This window comes from Homo sapiens, chromosome 16, assembly GCF_000001405.40.
Source record: "Homo sapiens chromosome 16, GRCh38.p14 Primary Assembly".
NCBI classification, from domain to species: domain Eukaryota; kingdom Metazoa; phylum Chordata; class Mammalia; order Primates; family Hominidae; genus Homo; species Homo sapiens.
Window position 1 is genome coordinate 3,508,177 of NC_000016.10, and position 25,015 is coordinate 3,533,191.

General features: G+C 44.8%; 1 protein-coding gene across 8 annotated transcripts in view, besides 2 other annotated features; it reads left to right on the forward strand.

Annotated features, from left to right (window-relative positions):
- CLUAP1 (clusterin associated protein 1) overlaps positions 1 to 25,015 on the forward strand; it is a 43,622-nt gene that overhangs the window by 12,750 nt on the left and 5,857 nt on the right. For 4 of the 8 annotated variants that reach the window (XM_047433797.1, XM_047433799.1, NM_001330454.2 and 1 more), the window contains 9 exons: positions 113 to 292; positions 4,207 to 4,302; positions 7,332 to 7,415; positions 11,727 to 11,860; positions 14,982 to 15,123; positions 18,236 to 18,308; positions 22,392 to 22,499; positions 24,610 to 24,665; positions 24,923 to 24,979. In XM_047433797.1, the coding sequence (XP_047289753.1) occupies positions 113 to 292; positions 4,207 to 4,302; positions 7,332 to 7,415; positions 11,727 to 11,860; positions 14,982 to 15,123; positions 18,236 to 18,308; positions 22,392 to 22,499; positions 24,610 to 24,665; positions 24,923 to 24,979 (930 nt within the window). Of the gene's footprint in view, positions 1 to 112; positions 293 to 1,717; positions 1,794 to 4,206; positions 4,303 to 7,331; positions 7,416 to 11,726; positions 11,861 to 14,981; positions 15,124 to 18,235; positions 18,309 to 22,391; positions 22,500 to 24,609; positions 24,666 to 24,922; positions 24,980 to 25,015 lie in introns of those variants that run through there. The other 4 variants (XM_047433798.1, NM_015041.3, NM_024793.3 and 1 more) reach the window with 3 other exon arrangements.
- Positions 1,739 to 1,798: an enhancer, noted in NCBI's record as "active region_10325". NCBI's record gives its function as "activates an Ori minimal core promoter by ATAC-STARR-seq in GM12878 lymphoblastoid cells {active_cell/tissue: GM12878}" and the evidence as "EXISTENCE:reporter gene assay evidence [ECO:0000049][PMID:35858748]".
- Positions 22,529 to 23,029: an enhancer, noted in NCBI's record as "H3K4me1 hESC enhancer chr16:3580705-3581205 (GRCh37/hg19 assembly coordinates)". NCBI's record gives its function as "activates a minimal SCP1, AML or CMV promoter by ChIP-STARR-seq in naive H9 embryonic stem cells {active_cell/tissue: H9 hESC(naive)}" and the evidence as "EXISTENCE:reporter gene assay evidence [ECO:0000049][PMID:30033119]".

Below are 25,015 nucleotides of genomic sequence, written 5' to 3' on the forward strand. Positions count from 1 at the left end.
AGGTTATATCCCAGTTGTCAGCAGAGGCATTTTCAACTCACCTACATGGGATTTAGTTTAGACATTACATGGAAAGGGCCTTCAACTTTTTTTTTTTTTGGTCTAAAAATAGGCCACCAAGGCACATATAAAACTCAACACTAAGAAGCTTTATCAAGCAGATGGGTATGCGGTAAAAGAGCTGCTGAAGATCACATCTGTCCTTTATAATGCTATGAAGACCAAGGGGATGGAGGGCTCTGAAATAGTAGAGGAAGATGTCAACAAGTTCAAGTTTGATCTTGGCTCAAAGGTAAGGACAACAAAAGCCTTGTAGTGGGCGATGGAGCGTTGATTTCTTGAGCTCTGAAGTGGAAGGAGTCTGCTACAGCTCCGCTGCTTTTCTTCCTCCTCAGCTGAGGGCAGTTTGTCAGTTTTGTGCTCATCAGCATTTGGATAAAGTCAAAGTCACAATCCACTAATTCAACTATTTATTAAAAGCTTAGTATTTGTCAGGTAGCATTCAAGCGCTGAGGATACAGTTGTGAACAAAAAGGACAAAAATCGTGTGTTTATTCTCTTCAGTTAGGGGAGTCAGACTGTGAACAATAAGAGGTGTGGAAGGCCAGATGCAGTGCAGGCTGTGGAGAATAATAAGCTGGGATGGGGATGGATGCTGCCCAGAGTGATCTTAAATCGGGTGATCAGGAAGGCCTCATGGATTGGATGGTGTTTCCAGCAGAGATCCAAGGGAGGGAAAGAGTGAGTTGTGCGGGTGGCGGGTGGCGTCAGGGTGTCTCAGGATGATAATTTGTTTTGGGCTGGGTGCAGTGACTCACTCCTGTAAGCCAAACACTTTGGGAGGCCGAGGTGGGAGGATCCTTTGATGCCAAGAGTTCCAGACCAACCTGGGCAACATAGTGAGACGCCATTTTTACCAAAAAAAAGAAAAAAATTAGCTAGGCGTGGTGGTACACACCTGTGGTCCCAGCTGCCCAGGAGGCTGAGGTGGGAAGATCTCTTGAGCCCAGGCAGTCAAGCCATGTTCATGGCACTGCGCTCCCGCCTAGGCAACAGAACGAGACCTTGTCTGGGGGGAAGAAAAAAAATGTGTTTTGTGTGTTTGAGGAAAAGCAAGGAGGCCGTGTGATGAGGGTTGGGATTGACAGACCCTCTGGCGCCTGGGAAGCCCCTGGAAAGCCTTTGTCTTTGCCTCTAAGGTGGGAATCGTTGGGATCCAAGCGGAACCTTCTGTGCTTATTTCCCGTCCAAAGGGTTGCTCTGGCTGCTGAGCCGCCATCAGACCGAAGCAGGCGGCAGGGCTGGAAGCAGCGAGCCTGTTTGGAGAGTGAGGGGTGACCGTGGCTTTGAGCAGAGTGCTGGTGGGACAGGTGCCGTCAGGTGTCAGGGAGCGACCACAGCAGCAAGCCAGAAATAAAGGTTAAGCCGTTACTCTGAGGCCCAAGGCCTCAGAGCAGGAGACCTAGGAATGAAGGCCCCGGGGCTGGGAGTGCACCTAAGAGTGTGGCCACGCAGGGTACGTGAAACCACAGTGCACTGGCTGAGCTCCAAGTCTGCTGCAGGGAAGAAAGCTTCCCCTGTGAGGCCTGCTAGGTGAGGCCTTGTCATGGTCTATAGTTGGGCTTGAAAAGCCACACACAGCTTTTTTGTTTTGTTTTTGTTTTGTTTTGAGACGGAGTTTCAGTCTGTGGCCCAGGCTGGAGTGCAATGGCACGATCTTGGCTCGCTGCGCCTCTGCCTCCCAGGTTCAAGAGATTCTTCTGCCTCAGCCTCCTAAGTAGCTGGGATTACAGGTACACACCACCATGCCCAGCTAATTTTTTTTTTTTTTTTTTGAGATGGAGTTTCACTCTTGTTGCCCAGGCTGGAGTGCAATGGCACAATCTCAGCTCACTGCAACCTCTGCCTCCCAGGTTCAAGTGATTCTTCTGCCTCAGCCTCCTGAGTAGCTGAGATTACAGGCATGCGCCACCACACCCAGCTAATTTTTTACTTGTAGTAGAGTCAGGGTTTCTCCATGTTGGTCAGGCTAGTCTCGAACTCCTGACCTCAGGTGATCTGCCCGCCTCAGCCTCCCAAAGTGCTAGGATTACAGGCGTGAGCCACCGCACCCGGCTTTGTATTTTTTTTTTTTTTTTTAGCAGAGATGGGGTTTCACCATGTTGGCCAGCTAGTCTCAAACTCCTGACCTCAGGTGATCTGCCTGCCTCGGCCTCCCGTAGTGCTGGGATTATAGGCGTGAGCCACCGCGCCTGTCCTCACATGTGGGTTTTTAACCAGGAGCGACACTCGTCAGCAAGAGAAGTGTCTAGAGATTGGGGCATATTTTGATGGTAGATCTCACGGGATGAGGCATGGGTTGAGAGTAAGTCAGGTGCTACAGGCCGGGTCTTGGGGCAGCCGTGCGGCAGAGCTTGCAGAGCTCATGGGTGTGTTCCGCCTCTGTGCTGTACTCTACGGGAACCACTGGCCACATGTGGCAAGCACAACTGAGGAACTGAGTTGAGTTCTGCATTTTCTTTAATTCTTAAGTAATTTAAGTGAAAATGGCCACATGTGGCTATTGGTTACTATATTAGACATCACTGCTCTGAAGTTTTTTGTGTGAGCCCCTGGAAGGATGAAGTTGCCATGTACTGAAGCAGAGAAGGTTCTGCACATGCTCCATTTGCCACGCCGATTGGCTGTCCAGGTGGAGATGGTGCACAGGTAGCTGGTATGTGAAACTAGAGCCCAGGGAAAGCCCAGGCTGGAGCTGGGAGCTGGGGAGCAATCAGCACACAGATGGTATTAAAGCCTTGAGGGTAGGAGCAGAGCCAGCAGAAAAGACGGGGGGTCCAGGAATGAAACTCTGACTCGCTCCACTTTTGAGAAGCAGAGAAGGTGACAGACTCCTGCAAAGAAGTTTGGGGATGTGCTGCTCGGAAGGGAAGAAAAGCAGCTAGAGCCAGAGCAGGCTGGATCCTGGAGGACTAAGGAAGAGGGAAGCAAGCTATCAAAGCCATCAGCTGCAAATGAAGAGGGAGAGTTGTTGCTAGTGGGTTGAAAATGAGAGCCAGAAGGTGAGGATTGGTTGTCCAGGAGAGAGGGAGAGTGAGCAGAGCAGGGAGACGTTTATGTTTGGGCTCCTTAGAAGAGTTAGCATATTCTAGGAAGAAGGGGTGACACACACATCCTAAGAAAGAAGCCTGTGCACAGGGCTCAGTGCTAAATCCTCATTGTGGTTGTCATCACCTTCCTGGCAACAGCTGCCCATCTGTGGAGCCCAGAACCATTGTAAGTCCTTAGTGGGTGCCACCCGATTTGCGCCTCTCCAAGCCTGTGGAGGAAAGTCTGAGGCAGAGAAGGAGGGCAGGGGAGGACGAAACACAGGACGTCAGGCTGCTGCAAGAGGATGTGTGTCCCTCAGGCTGTCCCTTTGTGTGGCCGCTCTGCTGCCGTCAGGCACCCTACTGTGACAAAGTCCAAGTAGGAAGCACGTCAGCTTTCTCCCAGCTATGCCCTCCTGGTTGTGGCTTCAGTTTGAGGTGACATTAGGTTTTTTGGAGAGACCCAGGCGTCCTGGAATTGGTCTCTTTAGTACTTAGATGATCATTTCCTGAGCGTGTGTCCCGCAGCCTGTGAGCATGTAACTGGGGAAGCACATGTTTGTGGTCACGTGTCCCAACCAAAGGTAGGAGCTGACATGAACAGGCTAGTGGTTGAATGCATGTTAAAAATCTGTGGCTGGCCGGGCACGGTGGCTCACGCCTGTGATCCCAGCACTTTGGGAGGCCGAGGTGGGTGGATCACCTGAGGTCAGGAATTCAAGAGCAGCCTGACCAACATGTAGAAATCCTGTCTCTACTAAAAATACAAAATTAGCCGGGCGTGGTGGCACATGCCTGTAATCCCAGCCACTTGGGAGGCTGAGGCAGGAAAATTACTTGAACCTGGGAGGTGGAGATTGCGGTGAGCCGAGATCGCGCTATCACACTCCAGCCTAGGCAACAAGAACGAAACTCCGTCTCAAAAAAAAAAAAAAAAAAATCTGTGGCTGGCTGAACATGGTGGTTCTGCCTATAATCCCAACACTTTGGGAGGCTGAGGTCGGAGGGTCACTTGAGGCCAGGAGTTAGAGAGCAGCCTGGGTAACATAGCCAAGACCCTGTCTCTATTAAAAAACATCTGTTGCTGAGGTTTCTGTTTTTGTTATTTTCCTTCCAGATTGCAGATTTGAAGGCAGCCAGGCAGCTTGCGTCTGAAATCACCTCCAAAGGAGCATCTCTGTATGACTTGCTCGGCATGGAAGTAGAGTTGAGGGTAAGCATTCCAGTACTTCCTTAACCATGCAGATTTTCTCTTCAAGGTTTTCTTTTTCAATTCTGTTTCTCCCTTTTCAGTTCTGATTTAATGAAATACACCTGGTTGAATGAGCTAATGTGTGGAAAGGTGATAGAGGATATTAGCTGTCCTTCCTGCTTCTGGTGGGCACTGGTCTAGCTTTATTTATTTATTTATTTATTTTTATTTATTTATTTTTGAGACGGAGTCTCGCTGTGTTGCCCAGGCTGGAGTGCAGTGGCGCAATCTCGTCTCACTGCAAGCTCCGCCTCCCAGGTTCACGCCATTCTCCTGCCTCAGCCTCCCAAGTAGCTGGGACTACAGGTGCCTGCCACCACACCCGGCTAATTTTTTGTATTTTTAGTAGAGACAGGGTTTCACCGTGTTAGCCAGGATGGTCTCAATCTCCTGACCTCGTGATCTGCCTGCCTTGGCCTCCCAAAGTGCTGGGATTACCGGTGTGAGCCACCGCGCCCGGCACTGGTCTACCTTTAACTTCTTGTTTAGGAGTGGCAGCTCCATGGCATGTGACTGAGCTGTCCTTGTTGTGCCCACTGGCAGACTTTATTGATCATGATGTTTTTTTCTGGTGTACTCTGCTTCAGCATTTTCTCAAAAATGATCTTCTGAGCTTGCAGTTCCCCGACCTTGCTGCCCAGTGCAAACACCTGGGGACCTCTAAAGACTTCTGAAGCCTGGCTTTCACTCTGGGGTCCTTGTTATGGAATGTGACCTGGGCATTGGGAGTTTTCAGATTCTCCCGGGTGATTCTAACAGCAGTTTGGGACCAGCAATCTTGGCATCACTTCCAGTCAGCTGAAGTTGATGTTGCAGTGGAGACTGATTTGATTTGCAATCCTTATTCCAGCCAATGCCAGCCAAGAAGTATGTGCCATCACCTACATTTAAGTAGCTGTTTAAGACTGGAGTGGTGTTTATTTTTTATTTTTTTAATTTTGTTATTTTTTTTGAGACAGTCTCACTCTGTTGCCCAGGCTGGAGTGCGGTGGCTCAATCTCGGCTCACTAAAACCTCCGCCTCCCAGGTTCAGGTGATTCTCCTTCCTCAGCCTCCTGAGTAGCTGCAATTACAGATATGTGTCACCACACCCGGCTAATTTTTGTATTTTTAGTAGAGATGGGGTTTCATCATGTTGGCCAGGTTGGTCTCAAACTCCTGATCTCAAGTGATTCGCCTTCCTCGGCCTCCCAAAGTGCTGGGATTACAGGCATGAGCCACTGCGTCTGGCCTAGAGTGGAGTAGTGTTTAATCCTTACCTGTAAAGATTTATGGCATTTGAAGCATATGTGCTCAATCTAATGCTTTAAAACTAAATGAATTTCTTTCATTCACTTCCTAGCAAGAGTGCCAGCCATGGCTTCTCTCTCTCACTGCCTTGCCTGTGTTCTGGCATACCCTGGGAGCAAACTGGAAGTGGAAGTCTGGGGAAGAGGGACTTAGGTGCTAGATTGCTATGTCTGCTCATCATATATTGACCCGGCAGTTGCCACCTGATGAAGTGTGGTTGGCAGAATGAAACTGCCACTGACATCTGCTAGCTAATTCAGATGATGAGTAAGGTACCTCCAGGCTTTCCCCTGTTCTGTTTGTAGTGCAGTGGTGTACATATGTCTGTACATGTCCCTAAGAGACTCAGAGACAGGAGCTGGCCACTTGCTGATTGCCACTAGAGCTGTGGCATCATTGTGAGACTTCATTTCCATCCCACGGGGTCTCTTTCAACACCATCCTGTAAAGAATGATGAAGTAACCAGTGGCTGAAACTGTTCCCAAGGAAACCATGAGACCCTGAATGTAGTACTTGTCAAATTCTGTGTGTAGTCATGATCCGAGGAAGAGCGCCTATCCAGTGTTTGTTTTTCTTTCATTCAGTAAACATTTACTGAGGTGCAGCCTCAGCCACAGGCAAGGCACTGAGCTCTGCCTCCTTGACTAAGTCCTCACCCTGCCCTCAGCCATTCCCACCAGGTGCACCGTGGATGAAAGGAAGCACAAGACGAGTTTTGACACAGTGCTTCAGGAACCTTGTCTTACTTTGTTCAGGCTGCCGTCCCAAAACACAATAAGCTGAGTGACTTATAAATAACAGATTTGTTTCTCACAGTTCTGGAGATTGGGAAGTTCTAGATGAAAGCACTAGCAGCTTCAGTGTCTGGCGAGGGCTTGTTCCCCACAGATGGTGCCTTGTTGCTGAGTCCTCACATGGCAGCAGGGGTGAGGGATCTCCCCAGGGTTTCTCTTAGGAGCTAATCACCTCCTAACATCATCACATTGTGGTTTCGAGTTTCAACATAGGAATTTTGGGGTCACACAAACATTGTCTATAGTAAACCTCATAACTATATCCACATTACAATCCCATGTCTCAGAAGTTTTCAGCACTGATATGATAGTCACAGATGTCTCCCTTGATAGGTTAATGGTTCATGCTAGGGGCAGGGCCATGGTCACTGTTCTTATCGGTTGCGTTTGTTAGTGATAGGCAACTGAGAGGGACTTCATGCTAAGAAAGATGCTTAGTTTGGGAGTCACCTGGACAGAATGCAGGTAAAGAAGCAAATTGGGGCTGGGCATAGTGACTCATGCCTGTGATCCTAGCACTGTGGGAGACCAAGGAACGTGGATCACTTGAGCCTAGGAGTTTGAGCAACATAGTGAGACCCTATCTCTATTTAAAAAAAAAAAAAAGAAGCAGCAGCAAATTTGGGAGAAAAGATAATGGATGCTAAGTTCAGTTTTGCTCATAGAGTTGGGGTCACCTAGGCCTCTGGCTGAAAAGGAGGACCTTGAGCTCTGGAGAGAGCTGGGTAGGCACTCAGATAATGGAAGACATTATAGGAGGTGATGGTGGCAGTGTTTTTGCATCAGAGATCCACATGGCAATAAACTTCGGAGAATCAGTCTATAAGGCACATCTAGATCTAGGAATACTGGTTTTGAGAACTCCTTTTCTGAAAATATACGTAAATGATTTTACTGTTTCCTAGGAAATGAGAACAGAAGCCATTGCCAGACCTCTGGAAATAAACGAGACTGAAAAAGTGATGAGAATTGCAATAAAAGAGATTTTGGTAAGATGACTTTGCTTTTATATAATGTTTTTTATGCCTGGGATTCAAAAATACTGATTTCTTGCCCATACAAGACAGAACAAGCTAGGCTTAGTAACAAGGGATGTGTTAGTGGGGAAATGAAAAACTCAAGAGGACATTCGAGCTTACCTAGGTCACTTACTATCATTTTTTTCCCCTCGTTATAAATAAAAACAGCTTCTCATGTTATTAAAAATTGATCAGTTTCAGTAATTTGATAATTATCAGTTATTCAATAATTTTAATAAATAATGCTCTATTTTATTTTGTTTAACCAATTCCTCACTGCTTAGTATTTAAATGATTTCAGGGTTTTCTAAATTCCAGACAGCACTGTAATAAGTAGAAGGATCACTATTGTTTACTGCTCGCTCACATCAGTTATCCTCTCATCTAAAGCAGTCAGTTGGAAGGCAGATCATGAGGGTGACTCTAGACTCAGATTGCTTGGGTTTGAATTCCACTGTGTGATATTAGGCAAGTTACTTACCCTCTCTGTGCCTCATTTTCCTCATCTGTAAAATGGCAAGAACTGCATTCCCAACTGTGTGGGGTCCTTATAAACATGAATCACGACAGGGCATATCAAGCCTCGTCTCTGATGCACAATTGATAATCAGTCATCACTGGTGATTTATTTTACTCAGTAGACACGGATGAGGGCCCCTGTGTACATTCAGAGTAGGCATAAAACAAGAATTTGCTATGAGTTGTACAAAATTCTAAAAATCATAGGTTTTTAAAAATATGTAATTCTTTTGTCATTAAACAGTAATACCTGCTGGGCAGCCCAGCCTAGGGAGTCAGAGCCTCACAGCGGGAGAAGGGCACCACAGCCCTGGTGGGAGATTGGTGACAGATAGGCAGATGGGTCAGATAAGTAAAAATATGGCAAGGATAATGGAGCCACGTTCCTCACTGTTGGAGAAAAAAGTCACAAAAATGTCACAAAAATGGAAAGAGAGAAAATTAGGGTGAACTTGAAATTGGAGGTGTTGGTTAAACGCATAGTTTTCAATATATAGATAGGTATAGGAATAAATTTTGATATACATGTATGCACATTTAAGGAATTACGTATATATGTATATAAATGTTTTATTTATATACATACACGTAGAGACACCCACACTCATACATTTCTTAGCTCTGAGCACACGTAGCACCTGGCTTAATGCCATTCTCCACTAAAAGGAACCAGGACTCTTAGGGGAAAATGGCTAATTCCAGAGTTGGGCAGGAGAAGTACGAGAAAGTAAGGAAGAGTTCAAAGGAGGAAAGGGAACTATTGGAAGCATGCAGAAGCCAACTTAAGTGGGCTTCTCCTGGCCAAAGTAAGGACAACTTAAGCATCAAAATAAATAAGTTAGAATAATTAATTTTATGGTATAATAGAATGAAATAGGAAACCATGAGTTTTCACTGGCATAAAAAAATAAATGAATATTGGAGGCTGAGGAGGAGCAGGTCATTCACACAGATTCGAAGTAACTTTCCACAAAGTACTTTTTTTTTCTTTTTTTTTTTTTTGAGACGGAGTCTTGCTCTGTTGCCCAGGCTGGAGTACAGTGGCACAACCTCGGCTCATTGCAACCTCTGCCTCCCAGGTTCAAGTGATTCTCCTGAGTAGCTGGGATTACTGGCGCACACCACTACACCCAGCTAATTATTGTATTTTTGTTTTATTTTATTTATTTATTTGTTTATTTTTTTAGACGAAGTCTTGCTATGTCACCCAGGCTGAAGTGCAGTAGCGCCATCTCAGCTCACTGCAATCTCTGCCTCCTGGGTTCGAGCAATTCTCGTGCCTCAACCTCCCAAATAGCTGGAAGTACAGGCATGCGCCACCACGCCCAGCTAATTTTTGTTTTTTTTTTTAGTAGAGATGGAGTTTTGCCATGTTTGGCCAGGCTTGTCTCAAACTCCTGACTTCAGGTGATCCGCCCGCCTTGACCTCTCAAAGTGCTGGGATTACAGGCATGAGGCATTGTGCCTGGCCCGCAGAGTACTTATTAATTACAGAGGGGAAAAGAGTCACTTCTCAGGGAGAAGCCTGCCAGTCACCCCCTTAATCAAGAGATCAAAGTGAACATCATCGTTACAGAACAAATCAAAATCATGCACGCCTGGTAGGATGCAGTCACTTCTGAGTATTCCTGCCAACGATGCATATCTGACTCTAATGAGACAAAGCCGGATTGAGGGGCATTCTACAGATTAACCAGCCTGTATGCTCCCAGAGTGAAAAGGTTCTGAAAGTCAAGGAAAGCTGAGGGGGCATTTCAGACTGAGGGAGGCTGTGGAGATGTGATAACTGGACACATAGGCAGCTCCTATCTGCTGTTGGGGACTTCACTGGGACAAGTGGGGACAGTGGAGTGGGGCTGGAGTTAGACGGTGGTAGTGTGTTAGTGCTGGCTTCCTGTTTTGATGATTGTATTGTGGGGATGTAGGAGAAAGTCCTTATTTGTAGGAAATACACGCTAAAGTATTCAGGGTATTGGAACGTCTGGTCAGCAACTTACTGTCACCTAGGTTGGGAAAAACGCTTTGTGTTGTACAACAGGTTTTCCGTAAATTTTTGATTGTTTCTAAATTTAAAAATTAAAAAAAAATTATTATACCTCTTATCCTTGCCAGTGTTCTAACTGAATCAGGTGAACACGGCATGAATGTGCCCTTAGCACTAATATGTTAAAAGTAGAACACCCAAGAGAGGACAGGGTTCATTTCTTGGTAGACATCTCTTAAGACTCCTTTCATTGTTAGAAAATATCTGTGATGTTTGATCATTCTAAAAACAACCAAAACAACATGGGTACTTAAAAGGGTTTGGGGAGTACAGGCCATTTATTTCAGAAACCAGGGAAAATTGCTTGTGTTTACACAGCTGTTTTGCATTGTGGATCTTTCTTGTTTGAGGAACAGATATGTTTAAGGTGGGATAAATTTACTAGGTTTTAATCTGACTTTGGTTCGAGGAAACAGTTGCCATTAACTGAAGTTGTTTAGAAAGGAGACCCACCTTTCTTCCTGTGAGGGTGAACTCGCATTTCTCCTGGGGGCTCTAAGGCACTTGCAGCAAATCGATGATAAGGGTCTGATTATTTTCATGAAAGTATCTTAGAAGTGGCTAGTGTACTTAGACCAAAAAAATTAGACCATAAACGCATTGTCAGTAACAGTGGCTGGTTCCAAAACACACCATGCCTGAGAGTTGTGGAGAGTGTCTGGGCTTCGTAGGCCATTTCTCTGTGGAGCCCATAGCTTTTCAGAGACTTGCAGGAAAACAGAGTAACCCCTTCGTGGGATGCTACACATAGGCAAAGAGCTGGAGGGGAAGCCCCACCTTGGCCACCAGGAACTTAATGCAGGGCTGGAAAGCCAGAACCCTGGGGGGCAGTTCCACGCTCAGCTGGGTGGCAGTCCAGATTCCTCATAAAGAGATTGGAGCCTGAACCCCAGGCATGTGATCCAGCCAGCCACCGGACAAGACGCATGTGAAGACGGCGCACTACCAGTGACTCTACCTGCTTCAAATGAACCTTCTCTTAGGATAGGGAGACTTGTGTCACCGTCAGTGGGCCCGTGTCCCCCTTCCCTTCTTTACTCAGCCTCTGTTGCCCAAGGGCCTCTGTCCAACTGTTGCCCTGGACCCCTTCCAGAGCTGGTGCACACCAGTGTGGCCATTGCCACTGTGGGAACTGCTTTCGTACTGTCTTCAGAGTGGTTTCTCCTCGTTTTTAGTCTGTAGTCAAGCTTCTGTTGCCAGGGAGAGGGAAGAGGACCTTCTCTCAATCCCAGCAGGCAGTGGGTTAGGGCTGGGACCAGCTGTTTCTTTCTCTCCCCTCCTAGTAGAGCAGTACTTGGTGTGTGTGGGTATTCTGTAAGTCGGGTGTTTGTAACTAGGGGCATGGCCCGAATGATAAAAAGGCAGACTGACCGTCCAGAGTGATGTGCACCTTGTTCTAACCGAGTGAGCCAGAGAAAAGACTGCAGGCCTCTCCACCTTGACCAGGACACTCTTCTTTGCATCTTCACTTCTTTCCCTGGGTAGAAATGCCTGCTTTTCATGGGGAAAAAAAAAGAGATACCTTTTTCTGGACCTGTGTGACATTCTCCCTGGAACTAGTGGGTTAAGTGAGTCATTGCTTGGGGAAGTGTCTATTTGTTTGCTTTTGTGTTTGTTGAGCATAATGTTGCTATGCCTGAAGAGTTGCAAAATTCTTCTAAGAATTAGGATGGCTGTTTTTATTGCCACCTTGTCTCATTATTTCCCATTAAATATAGACACAGGTTCAGAAGACTAAAGACCTGCTCAATAATGTGGCCTCTGATGAAGCTAATTTAGAAGCCAAAATCGAAAAGAGAAAATTAGAACTGGAAAGAAATCGGAAGCGACTAGAGACTCTGCAGAGTGTCAGGTAGATATGAACACTTGGAGAATGAGTAGAAAGATGTCCTGGAAAGTTCAAACAAACTGGGCGTGGTGGCTCATGTCTGAAATCTCAGCTACTCATGAAGCTGGGGCGGGGGGTTCTCTTGAGCCCAGGAGTTTGAGACCAGCCTGGGCAGCATAATGAAACCCCATCTCTAAAAATTTTTAAAAATTACCTCAGTATGGTGATACACACCTGTAGTCCCAGCTACTTGGGAGGCTGAGGCGGGAGGATTGCTTGAGCCCAGGAGGTTGAGGCTGCAGTGAGCTATGGTTGCATCACTGCACTCCAGCCTGAGCCACAGAACAAGGCCGAGTAACAGAACAAGGCCCTGACTCTAAAAGAAAAAAAAAGTTAGAACAAAGACTTAAGAGAATAGAATGTGATCTTAACTCTTCTCAAGCAATGAAAAAAAGCCTTACATAAGGGTATCTTCACCTCAAATGTACATGTGTTGCCTGTCATAACAAGCAGATGGCTAAACTCATTCTCTTTACTGCTTGCGGTATGTCTGGAAAACTGCTTAAAGCTTGAACTGCCCTTTAAGCTTTTATAGCTTCTTGGAACTCAAGGCAGAGTAAGTGAATCCAGACGGGGAAATCCAGACGTGGTCTCCTAAGATCTTGCCATAAATTAGGTAGAAACAGAAACATACTCCTGCCTGTTTGTTGGCATAGATTTTAGACTTTATTTAAACCTTGATCATTCCTCACCAGTCAGTAATTCATCTTTCTTCCTACGTTACCTCATTGGAAATATATTTCCCAGGAATACCGATGGAGAATAGTGGTGCCGGCTCTCTCTCTCTTCTCTTCCTCGTTCTGTGCCTCTTTCCCTCCCCCATGCTTCTGCTCTTTCTCCCTTTTCATTCACCCTTTATTTTTCTTTCTTCTTGGCTCCCTCCTCTTCCCAGCTGCCTACTCTGCTCGGATGTTTTGCCTTTTTGGATGTTGGTGGCTGGCTACACCCTGCCCACTGTCCCGAGGTCTGTGGGGAGGCAGCACCTGGAGGCAGCGACAGCAACCACAGGGAGCGCCCTGGCTCCTCCCTGCCCAGCGCAAGGCCAAGGCCCTTCCCCTCCTGAAACTGGCTCTTTACCTCTGGAGCCTCAGAGAGGGAAAAAAAAAAAAACAGAAGTCATTGCCGCCATATAGATTGATCTCCTTGACACATTCCACTTTTAAAGCATCAATTCATTTTTGTTAAGCTCCAAATCATTTTAACAGAAAAGTCTCTTTGTTTTGCTCTAGTTCAAAAGATTATAATTATTTCTGAGTTTATCTGCTTATATTTTTAAAAGAGTAGAATTTTCCCTTTAAGGTCAATAATAAGAAAAAAGAAAAAGTTCAGCAAACCAGTATAGATTTTTATGGTTTTTTTTGTTTTTGTTTTTTTTTTTTGAGTTGGAGTTTCGCTCTTGTTGCCGAGGCTGGAGTGCAATGGCGCGATCCCGGCTCACTGCAAACTCTGCCTCCCGGATTCAAGCGATTCTCCTGCCTCAGCCTCTCAAGTAGCTGGGATTACAGGCGGCCGCCACCACGCCCAGCTAATTTTTGTATTTTTAGTAGAGACGGAGTTTCACCATGTTGGCCAGGCTGGTCTTGAACTCCTGACCTTGTGATCCACCTGCCTTGGCCTCCCAAAGTGCTGGGATTACAGGCATGAGTCATCATCACGCCTGGCCTTTTTAAAAAATTTTTTATCGTTTAAAAACCTCTTTAGACTGGGCACAGTGATTCACGTCTATAATCCCAGCACTTTGAGAGGCCAAGGCGGGCAGATCGCTTGAACTCAGGGGTTCAAGACCAGCCTGGGCAATATGGCGAAACCCCATCTCTACAAAAAAAAAATATAAAAAATAGCTGGGCATAGTGGCACATGTCTGTAGTCCCAGCTACTTGGGGGCCTGAGACAGGAGGATCACCTGAGCCCAGGCGTTCGATGCTGCAGTAAGCCATGATCACACCACTGCACTGTAGCCTGGGTGACAAAGTGAGACCCTGTCTCAACAAACAAAAAAAAACCACCAGCCTTAATTCGTAACAACCTGTGGTCCCCTTTTTAGAGGATTGCTTTAAATTTATAATATCCTGACAGTAGAACATTATTATTATTATTATTATTTCTTTTGAGATGGAGTCTCTCTGTGTTGCCTAGGCTGGAGTGCAGTGGCGCAATCTCGGCTCACTGCAACCTCCACCTCCCAGGTTCAAGCAGTTCTCCTGCCTCAGCCACCCGAGTAGCTGGGATTACAGGCATGTGCCACCACGCCTGGCTAATGTTTGTATTTTTAGTAGAGACGAGGTTTCACCATGTTGGCCAGGCTGGTCTGAAACTCCTGACCTCAGTTGATCCACCCGCCTCAGTCTCCCAAAGTGCTGGGATTACAGGCGTGCGCCACCGCACCCGGCCAACAGTAGAACATTATACCCAAATAAGATAATAATATATATATTTATTGATTTGGAGAGATGTGTCTGGTATGTGATTTTTTTGCCTTTAGAGATGGGGTCTCAATGTGTCACCCAGGCTGGAGGGCTGGAGTGCCACGGCAAGGTCAGAGGATCCTCACTCACTGCAGCCTTGAACTCCAGGGCTCAATCCTCCTCCTACTTCAGCCTCCCAAAGTGCTAGGGTTACAGGTGTGAGCCGATGCACCCAGCCTGATCATTTTTAACTCTATTGAGATTACGGTATATTGAAATGAAATAAAGATTATAAAATTTCTTGGTATATTTAATTTTTTTTTTAAATGCATTCCTATCTATATTTATGCATAGAAAAGTCTGGAAGGATGTATGTCAACTATCAAGCGCTTATACCTGGTGATGGGATTATCAGTAATTTTTACGTCATTCTTCATACTTTCAGGATTATTTCAAGTTTTTACAAAGAGCACATCTTATTTATGATGAAAAAGAAGTATGTTCATTTTGGGGGGAGAAAGCAGAAAAGGGAAAATATTTTTAAGCATTACAAGAATGAAGGACCTTCTCTAATTAAGGGTTTCCAGAGAAAGCCACCATGGAATCTGAAACTGTGAATACCCATTTCAAACTACTGCATATAATTCACCTTTCCTTTTTATTTCATTTGCTTCTTTTAGGCCATGTTTTATGGATGAGTATGAGAAGACTGAGGAAGAATTACAAAAGCAGTATGACACTTATCTGGAGAAATTTCAAAATCTGACTTATCTGGAACAACAGCTTGAAGACCATCATAGGATGGAGCAAGAAAGGTTTGAGGTGAGCTGAGCCTGTCCTCTGTTCAGCCATTCCTTCTGGTGTGTTATTTTGTACTGGGTGACAGGTCATTTTGTTAATATCATTGTGAAAAAAATATCAGTACATGTTTTTTCTCCCTGGTCAGTCTGAGGATTGCTCATGTAATGTGTTTGTTTTGCTGGCAGTGTACACTGGACTCCAGGGTTGTCAAATCTTTGATGTCATATTTCATCAGGTTTGGTCAGTTAAGAGAACAGACAGGGCCGACATGAGGCCTGTGTGGCTGCGTAAGACCCTGTGCCGACATGGGGCCTGTGCTTGCTTTCAGGCCCTGTTGTCACTGTCTTGAAATTCATAATAATTTTTAAGTGCATTTTATTTTCCACTGATCCCAAAAATTATGTAGCTGGTCTCGAGTGCAGATTTAAAAGCTTGCTTGGCTTTGGGAGGCCAAGACGAGCGGATCACTTGAGGTCAGGAGTTTGAGACCAGCCTGGCCAACATGGTGAAACCCCTCCTCTCATAAAAATACAAAAAATTAGCCGGGTGTGGTCGTACACACCTGTAGTCCCAGCTACTCGGCAGGCTGAGACAGGAGAATCGTTTGAACATGGGAGGAAGAGGTTGCAGTGAGCCAAGATCGTGCCACTGTACTCCAGCCTGGACAACAGAGCAAGATCCCATCTCCAAAAATAAGAAAATAAAGCTTGCTTAGTCAGTTCACATAAAGATTTTCAAGGCAAGGTGCGATGGCTTATACTTGTAATCCCAGCACTTTGGGAGGCTTAGGCAGGAGGATCACTGGAGCCCAGGAGTCTGAGACCAGTTTGGGCAGCATAATGAGACCCTGTCTCTACAAAGAAGTAAAAATAAATTAGCTGGACATGGTGTTACACACCTGTTGTCTCAGCTACTTGGGAGGCTGAGATGGAAGGATTGCTTGAGCCTGGGAGTTTGAAGTTGGAGTGAGCCATGATCATGCCACTGCACTCCAGCTCGGTTGACAGAGCAAGACCCTGTCTCAAAAAGAAAAAAAAAAAGGGCCGGGCGCGGTGGCTCACGCCTGTAATCCCAGCACTTTGGGAGGCCACAGCTGGTGGACCACGAGGTCAGGAGTTTGAAATCAGCTTGTCCAACATGGTGAAACCCCGTCTACTAAAAATACAAAATTTATCTGGTATGGTGGCGGGCACCTGTAATCCCAGCTACTTGGGAGGCTAAGGCAGGAGAATTGCTTGAACCCAGGAGGCAGAGGTTGCAGTGAGCCGAGATTGCGCCACTGCACTCTAGCCTGGGCGACAGAGCAAGACACCATCTCAAAAAAAAAAAAAAAAAAAAAAAAAGAAAGAGATTTTCAAGTCCTGGTTAATTGAATCACCAGAATAGCTCATTGGAGATTGTTTTGTAAAGAGGAATGGCAGTTTATTTATTGATTGTGGGAAATAAATGTGTGGCCTTGAGCCTGACCAACCATCTTACAGGTTCCTCTCATCCCTGTGGGTAAGGCCATTTAGGAAAAGAGTGTTTTAGACCCGAGCATGAGTTGATAAATGTGGAATTTAGAGCAAAGGAAATTGAACCAAGTTGTGATCAGTTTTTGAATTGCCCTATCCTTAACCTGAGAATGGTCATTTAGACTCCATTTTCATGATGAAATTGGTCTGCAGTCTCCCTTTCTCATGCCCTTGACAGCTTTTGGTATTAAGGTTATGCTAGGCTTCTTACAATACTGAGCATTTGAGTTTGGCAGAGCTATTTTGTTGTCCAGGAGGGCTAACTGGGAGTACCTAACGCATCCGTGTGGACACATGTCATCTTGACGAGGAATTCATTGCTAGCATTACTCTGTGGCAGAGGCAGGCCATGGAGAAATGGTACGGGACAGGCACATTTCGAGGGCACTAGAAAGAGCTTGGAGTTTAGAACATTTTAAACATTGGGTACCTGGGAAAGAACAGTCAAGGGCAGTGAAAAGAAACGTTGGCCATTTTTTTGTATTATCTGGGGCCACCTCTGGGTTCAGAGAACAAACCAAACAGTATGCCTCAGAGTGGCAGGTAGGTGGCCCAGGAAACTTCCCAGGGAGCCCCTCTACCCTACCCTTCCTTCAACAAGTACATCTCTTTTTCTCTTACTCACTCTCGCTCTCTGTCGTTAGAATACCTGTTCCCTCGAAATACCCCATGCCGGAAACACAGTGCTTTATTTTTAATGTTTAGAACAACAATATATAAAGCCAACTTCCTCCCTCTGTCTGTCCCTCCCCCCCACTCTCTCTCTTTGTCTCTTTCTCTTTCTCAACGGGGTCTCACTCTGTTGCCTGCCACTCTGTCTGGAGGGCAGGGTGTGATTATAACTCACTGTAGCTTCAGACCTCTTGGGCTCAAGCGATCCTCCCACCTCAGCTTCTTGAGTAGCTGGGACTATAGGCACTTGCCACCATACCTGGCTAAATTTTTTAAATTTGTTGTAGAGATGAGGTTTCCCTATGTTGCCCAGGCTGGTCTCAAACTCCTGGGCTCAAGTGATCCTCCTGCCTTGGCCTCCCAAAGCGTGGGGGTTACAGGTGTGAGCCACCACGCCCAGCCCCCATTCTCTTTCTTGATAATAATCAAGGCCACATTTTATGATCTGAGATATTTCCTCCTGTCCCCACCCCTGTTCCCATCCTTACCTGTCCCACCATTTAGCATCTTTTGAGCTGGAATCTGAAGGCAGGGCAGGAAAGATAAATGATAAAATCTATACTTTCTTCCTTTGAAAGCAGGAGGCCTGTCTCTGCCCTAAAATTAGATGTGTCTGTTCTGTGTCCCCAGGTCATACAGGCATGCGTGATGGGCATTTAGTTCTCCTCAGAGGCAGGGAAATGCAATCGGAGAAGCATGGGGTGGGGCAGCTGCTTCACTCTGGGCGCCCCTGTCCACCAGGCCACGAGGCAACCGCAGAGAGAAAGGGCAGTAAGTTTCAGGACCCTGGAGTTGCTCAGGCAGTGTTAATTCTCTTCCCCTTCCTTGAGTTTAGCTCTTTTTTTGTTCTGTAGCACAAACTTAGCAGTCCTTACACAGTGGTGAAGAAGAATAGAACAGTCCAGAAAAGGGCCATCTCTCCTGAGTCTGTATTTCCTCTTCCACAGGAAGCTAAAAACACTCTCTGCCTGATACAGAACAAGCTCAAGGAGGAAGAGAAGCGCCTGCTCAAGAGTGGAAGTAAGGCTGGGCTTCGTAGACGAGCAGTTTACTCTGGACTAGTATTTTCAGCCTTGAAATATATATAGAGAGATATATATATATTTTTTAATATGTATTTTCTTCTTTTTTTCAGCAGTTTTTTTTTTACTGTAGTAAGAACACTTCACTTTACATCTTCAATTTTGAAAAGTATAATAAATTATTGTTGACTATAGGTACAAAAATATTTTCAAAAGGCGGTTTTCTCACAACTTCTATATTGGGTACCATTGTATTCACTCAAGAGTCTGGTTTAAATATAGCATTTAAAACACATTTCGTTCTTGTGCCAGTTAAGATAGTGTTTTCCCCTGTTTAAATGATAGTTTGAATTATATATGATGCGTAACTATAAGAAAACATGGCCCTAGATGTGTGTAGGGTTCTGTATTTTCAGGCTGAATGATGGAAAGCAAGCACTGGGATGCAGTGCAGGGAGAGGGGCCGCTCGCTTTGTGATGGTCCCCATGCTGCTGAGATGCCCCCCATAATCCAGAATGGCTCAGCAAGACACTCAGCTGGAGAGACACAGGGTTACGTCCATGCAAAGCCTAGATTCCGGGAAGGAGCTCTCTGTGACCAGGCAGCTTCCCTTATCCTTGTGTGGGCGGCAAGCCGCCCAGGTGCCGAGGCAAGAGACCGAGAGCACGAGCTGTTCCAGTATAATAAAATATATAAAATAAGAATAGTTATACTAGATATAGATCATAGATATGATTATATATGAATATCATTAATCATTAGTTTATAGCAATTACTCTTTATTCCAATATCATAATAATCCTCGCTCTACAATCATAACCTAGGAAAAAACAGGCCATACAGATATAGGAGCTGAGGGGACATGGTGAGAAGTGACCAGAAGACAAGAGTGCAAACCTTCTGTTATGCCCAGACAGGGCCACCAGAGGGCTCCTTGGTCTAGTGGGAACACCAGCGTCTGGGAAGCCGCCCGTTGCCAAGTGGACCGTGGTCTAGTGGTAGCGTCAGTGTCAAGGAAAAACACCTGCTACTTAGCAGACCAGGAAAGGGAGTCTCCCTTTCCCCGGGGGAGTTTAGAGAAGACTTTACTCCTCCACCTCTTGTGGAGGGCCTGACATCAGTCAGGCCCGCCCGCAGTTATCCGGAGGCCTAACCATCTCCCGGTGATACTGTGCTTCAGTGGTCATGCTCCTAGTCTGCCTTCATGTTCTGTCCTGTACACCTGGCTCTGCCTTTTAGATAGTAGTAGCAAATTAGTGGAAGTACTAAAAGTCTCTGATAAGCAGAAATAATGGCGTAAGCTGTCTCTCTCTCCTCTCTGTCTCTCTGCCTCAGCTGCCAGGCAGGGAAGGGCCCCCTGTCCAGTGGATACGTGACCCATGTGACCTTACCTATCACTGAAGATGGCTCACTCTCCTTACCCTGCCCCTTTGTCTTGTATCCAATAAATATCAGCACAGCCTGGCATTCAGGGCCACTATCAGTCTCCACGTCTTCGTGGTAGTGGTCCCCCAAGCCCGGCTGTCTTTTCTTTTATCTCTTTGTCTTGTGTCTTTATTTCTACAGTCTCTCATCTCTGCACATGGGGAGAAAACCCACCGACCCTGTGGGGCTGTACCCTACATCCCTGAACTTCAGTGTCAAGTCACTGTCAGGGACCGGTAGCAGCCCAGGATCTTCCTGCTGAATTGATGGCCTTGTTGCACGGAGTTCCTCCTCCTCTTGCTGGTTGCCCTTTCTTTTCTTCAGGGTGAAATATTCTATTCACTCTCATGTTGAGGGCAGCATACTTGAGGCATCAGGCCCACACACATGCTCCCACACACACTCTCTCTCTCTCTCTTTCTCTTTCTTTGCCATTTCCCTTGTATCTCTCTCATTTTGCACCTGTTCTGTGACTCTCTCGTCTGAATCTCAGGAAACTTTGGAGGAAGGATAGGGACTGCTGGGAAATCCTCCAGGAACAAGGTTAGGAAATTTGAAGGGCCTGTCTAGCCAAAGCAGCCCTCCCCTTTTTAGTTCCATGTCAGCCAGGAGCATGTGAAGCAGCCCTCAGTGATCAGCCTGCATGGGGTTTGTCCCTTGCGAGAGGCCCAGCTCAGCTAGGAGCCCTGGTTTGTTGCTTGCATCCCATGCTGTCCCCGGGCCAGGATGCTAAGACCTGCCATTCTGATCTTGCTTTATTCACCAAGATTTACCTTTGTGTTTTCTTCTAGGAGTTCTATAGTTTTAGCTCTTACATTTAGGTCTCTGATCCACTTTGAGTTAATTTTTGTATATGGTGTGAGACAGGGGGTCCAACTTCATTCTTTTGCATGTGGCTATTCGGTTGTCCTATTATCATTTGTGGAAAAGACTATTATTTCCCCATTGAGTTATACTCGCATGTTGTCAGCCATTAATTTTAATTGTCACTGTCAGCTCAGTGGTTTCAGTGTCAGCATGCATTAATGTCTTAGTCTGTTTTGTGCTGCTGTAACAGAATACCTGAGACTGGGTAATTATATATTTTACATAAAATATATACAGCATTGTATATATGGATACATGCAGTCATCCCTCAATATCTGCGAAGAACTGGTGCCAGAACCCACCTGTGGATACCAAAATCCACAGATGTTCAAGTCCTTTTCATGTAACCTATGCACATCCTCCCATATACTTTAAGTCATCTCTAGATTACATAAAATACCTAACATAATGCCTATACATCACTTCATTCACATGGATTCAACATAGTACTTGGTATGTGGCAAATTCAAGTTTTGCTTTTTGGAACTTTGTAGATCTTTTTTGAACTTTGTAGATTTTTTTTCCAAATAATTCAGATCCATGGTTGGCTGAACCCATGGATGTGAAATCCATGGATACAGAGGGCCAGTTTTGTATGTGTGTGTGTGTGTGTGTAGTTTATATATATATGTCATATATATTATTATATATAATATATATTATATTATATATTATTATATATAATATATATTATATTATATATTATATAATTATATTATATTATATATATTATATAATTATATATTATTATATGTTATATATTATTATATATTATATATTATTATATATTATATATTATATAATATTATATATTATTATATATTATATATTATATAATATTATATATTATATATTATTATATATTATATATTATTATATATTATATATTATTATATATTATATATTATTATATATTATATATTATATATTATATAATATTATATATTATATATATTATTATATATTATATATTATATAATATATATTATATTATTATATATTATATAATATATATTATATTATTATATATATATTATAATATAATATATTATATAATATATTATATAATATATATTTTATAATATAATTTATAATTTATAAATTTATATTTATAATTATATATGTTATATAGTTATATATTATTATATATAATAATATATGACAATTATATAACATATATAATATATTAGTATTAGGTTATATTATTATCATTATAATCAGAAACTTACTTGTCTGAAATTTAATGAGCCACAGTTCTAGGAGCAAGCCCAAGATCAAGGAGCTGCATCTTGCCGCACCATCCCATGGCAGAAGGGCAAAGAGAGGGCGAGAGAGAGCAAGAGATCAAACTCACAGCCTCAAGCCCTTTTATAACCAGCATTAATCCATTCTTCAAGGCGGAGCCCTCATGACCTAAACACCTCCCAGTATGCCCCACCTCCCAACACTGTTGCATTGGGATTTAAGTTTCCAACACAGGCTTTTCGGAGACACATTGAAATCATATAATAGCAATTGACTTTAGTTTACCTGCTCACTTCTCAGGTCTGTATTGGTTTGAGTTGTAAGAAGAAATCTTATTGAGCCTGAGGTACATGTATTAATTTTATTTTAAAATTGATTATATAATTTGATTTGCATTGCATGGGATAAGGATTTAATGTCTTAATTTCCTGGATAGAATAAGAAATGAACAAATGACTTTTGCACACAGACCTTACTGGGCAGAGCTGTTTCGTTGTGATCATGAAGCCACTCCTTTGTTTTGCCTGCTTGTGTTCCTGCTAGGTAACGATGACTCGGACATAGACATCCAGGAGGACGATGAATCCGACAGTGAGTTGGAAGAAAGGCGGCTGCCCAAGCCACAGACAGCCATGGAGATGCTCATGCAAGGTACCCCGGCGTCTTTCGCTGGACTTCCTCCCTGCGCCCTGTTTCACAGAACACCTGGCCAGGACTGGGGCAGGCTGCTTAGTATTGAGGCCCACAAGCGTGCTGCGAATGGCCCCTAGAAGCAGCTCTTGCTCAGGTTTATCCTGTCCTGTTGTTTATGGCTCTTGAACTGCTCAGTGGTCATGTTTGCTCCTTGTCTGTGATCCCAAGACTGGATGGTTCATATTTATGGCTTGGTATTTCTCACAGCCACAAGAACACATTGCCTCTGCCACTCTCAGTGCAGTGATATACTTAATAGCCTGAGAATTAATGCAGAAAGGGACTTAAATGAGCATCTCTGCCTTAAAAAAAGTTCTTCTAATTCCTTTACTCATCACAAAAGATTCAAGCAACAAAGCTCAGCGCAGTGGTGCACACCTTATTCCCAGCTACTCAGGAGGCTGAGGCAGAAGGATCATTTGAGCCTAGGAGCTCGGAGCTGTAGTATGTGATGATTGTGTCCGTGAATATCCACTGCATTCCGGCCCGGGCAACATAGAGGGGCTCTTAAAACTAAGTTAAGCCAGGCGCGGTGGCTCACGCCTGTAATCCCAGCACTTTGGGAGGCCAAGGCGGGTGGATCACGAGGTCAAGAGATCGAGACCATCCTGGCTAACACGGTGAAACCCCGTCTCTACTAAAAATAAAAAAAAAATTAGTTGGGCGCAATGGCGGGCGCCCATAGTCCCAGCTACTCGGGAGGCTGAGACAGGAGAATGGTGTGAACCCAGGAGGCGGAGCTTGCAGTGAGCCGAGATCACGCCACTGCACTCCAGCCTGGGCGACAGAGTGAGACTCCGTCTCAAAAAAAAAAAAAGAGTTAAAACAAAAAAAGACTCAGGCAACAAAATTTGTAGAGCAAATGTGAATTCTCTCCTGGGGTCTTCCTCATGTCCCACTCCCACCTGGGAGGGCTCATGGCTAGTGGCCAGGGTGGGTGTGTCTTTACAGATTACCTTTCTGTACATATACATACGCACACACATACACATACAAAGATCACCTGAAAAAAATTTAACCTGAGTGCAACCAGACGGTATGTATGGTTCTGCAACTTGCTTTTGTTTTTAAAAATTAAGTACAATTGGAACTCTTCCTCTGTCAGCAATAGATCTGCCCCCTAATTTTTTTTTTTTTTCTTTTTGAGACAAAGTCTCGCTCTTGGTCCCCAGGTTGGAGTGCAATGGCATGATCTTGGCTCACTGCAACCTCTGCTTCCCGGAGGGAGCAATTCTCCTGCAATCCCAAGTAGCTGGGGTTACAGGCCCGTGCCACCACACCCAGCTAATTTTTGTATTTTTAGTAGAGACGGGGTTTCACCATGTTGGCCAGGCTGGTCTCGAACTCCCAACCTCAGGTGATCCACCCGCCTCGGCCTCCCAAAGTGCTGGGATTACAGGCCTGAGCCACCACTCCTGGCCTGCCCCCTACTTTTTAATGGCTATGTCATATTCCTAGCAGGACTGTACCCATGATTTACTGGGCGTTCTCGCATTGATATTTCCCCTCTTTTCCTTGTATATACATCTTTCTGCATGTCTGCATATCTTTAGGTTGCATCATTAAAAGTCAAATTCTTAGGTCAAAGGTTCCATAAATTTTTATTTTAATACTATAAAATTCTCCTATATTTGCCTTTAAAAACATTTCTTATCTACCACCTGTTAATGTTTGGAGCACAGTTGCTTTTTTTTTTTTTTTTTTTTTTTTTTTTGGAGACAGAATCTCATTCTGTCGTTCACGCTAGAGTGCAGTGGCACGATCTCAGCTCACTGCAACCTCTGCTTCCTGGTTTCAAGCGAGTCTCCTGCCTCAGCCTCCCGAGTAGCTGAGACTACAGGTGTGAACCACCATACCTGGCTAATGTTTAAAAAAATTTCTGTAGAAATGAGGTTTCATTATGTTGCCCAGGCTGGCCTCAAACTCCTGGCCTCCTGTCTCAGCCTCCCAAATTCCTGGGATTATACGCAAAAGCCAACATGCCTGGCCAGAAAACAAATCTTGAATGCTATTTCCTGCTTTATTTTCCAAGATTTTTATGACTTCTTCATGCTTTTGTTGTTCTCAGGAAGACCTGGCAAACGCATTGTGGGCACGATGCAAGGTGGAGACTCCGATGACAATGTAAGTCCCCCGCTCCCCTCAGTGGTTCTGTGCACTCTGGGTTTGGCTGTCCCCATAGATGGGAGTGGCTGAGTTGCTGTCAGCAGCCAGGGAGCCGTCTATGGTCAGCCCGGCCGTGCCTCGATGCGTGGCAGGGTTTGGCCTCATGAGGCTCTGGACTCTTCGTTGCTCGTGGATGGCTCATCTCTTTTCAAGTGAATGTGCTTGCTCTGCTTTTTTTGCCTTCTCACTGTTCTTTCCATTCTCGCTTTCCAAAGATGGAAGCAGCACCAGCTCTCTTAGGTAAATGCAAGACTTCCAGCTCCAAGAAGCAGGTTGGTTTTCTGTTCTGCCTCATGTGTTTGTGGGTG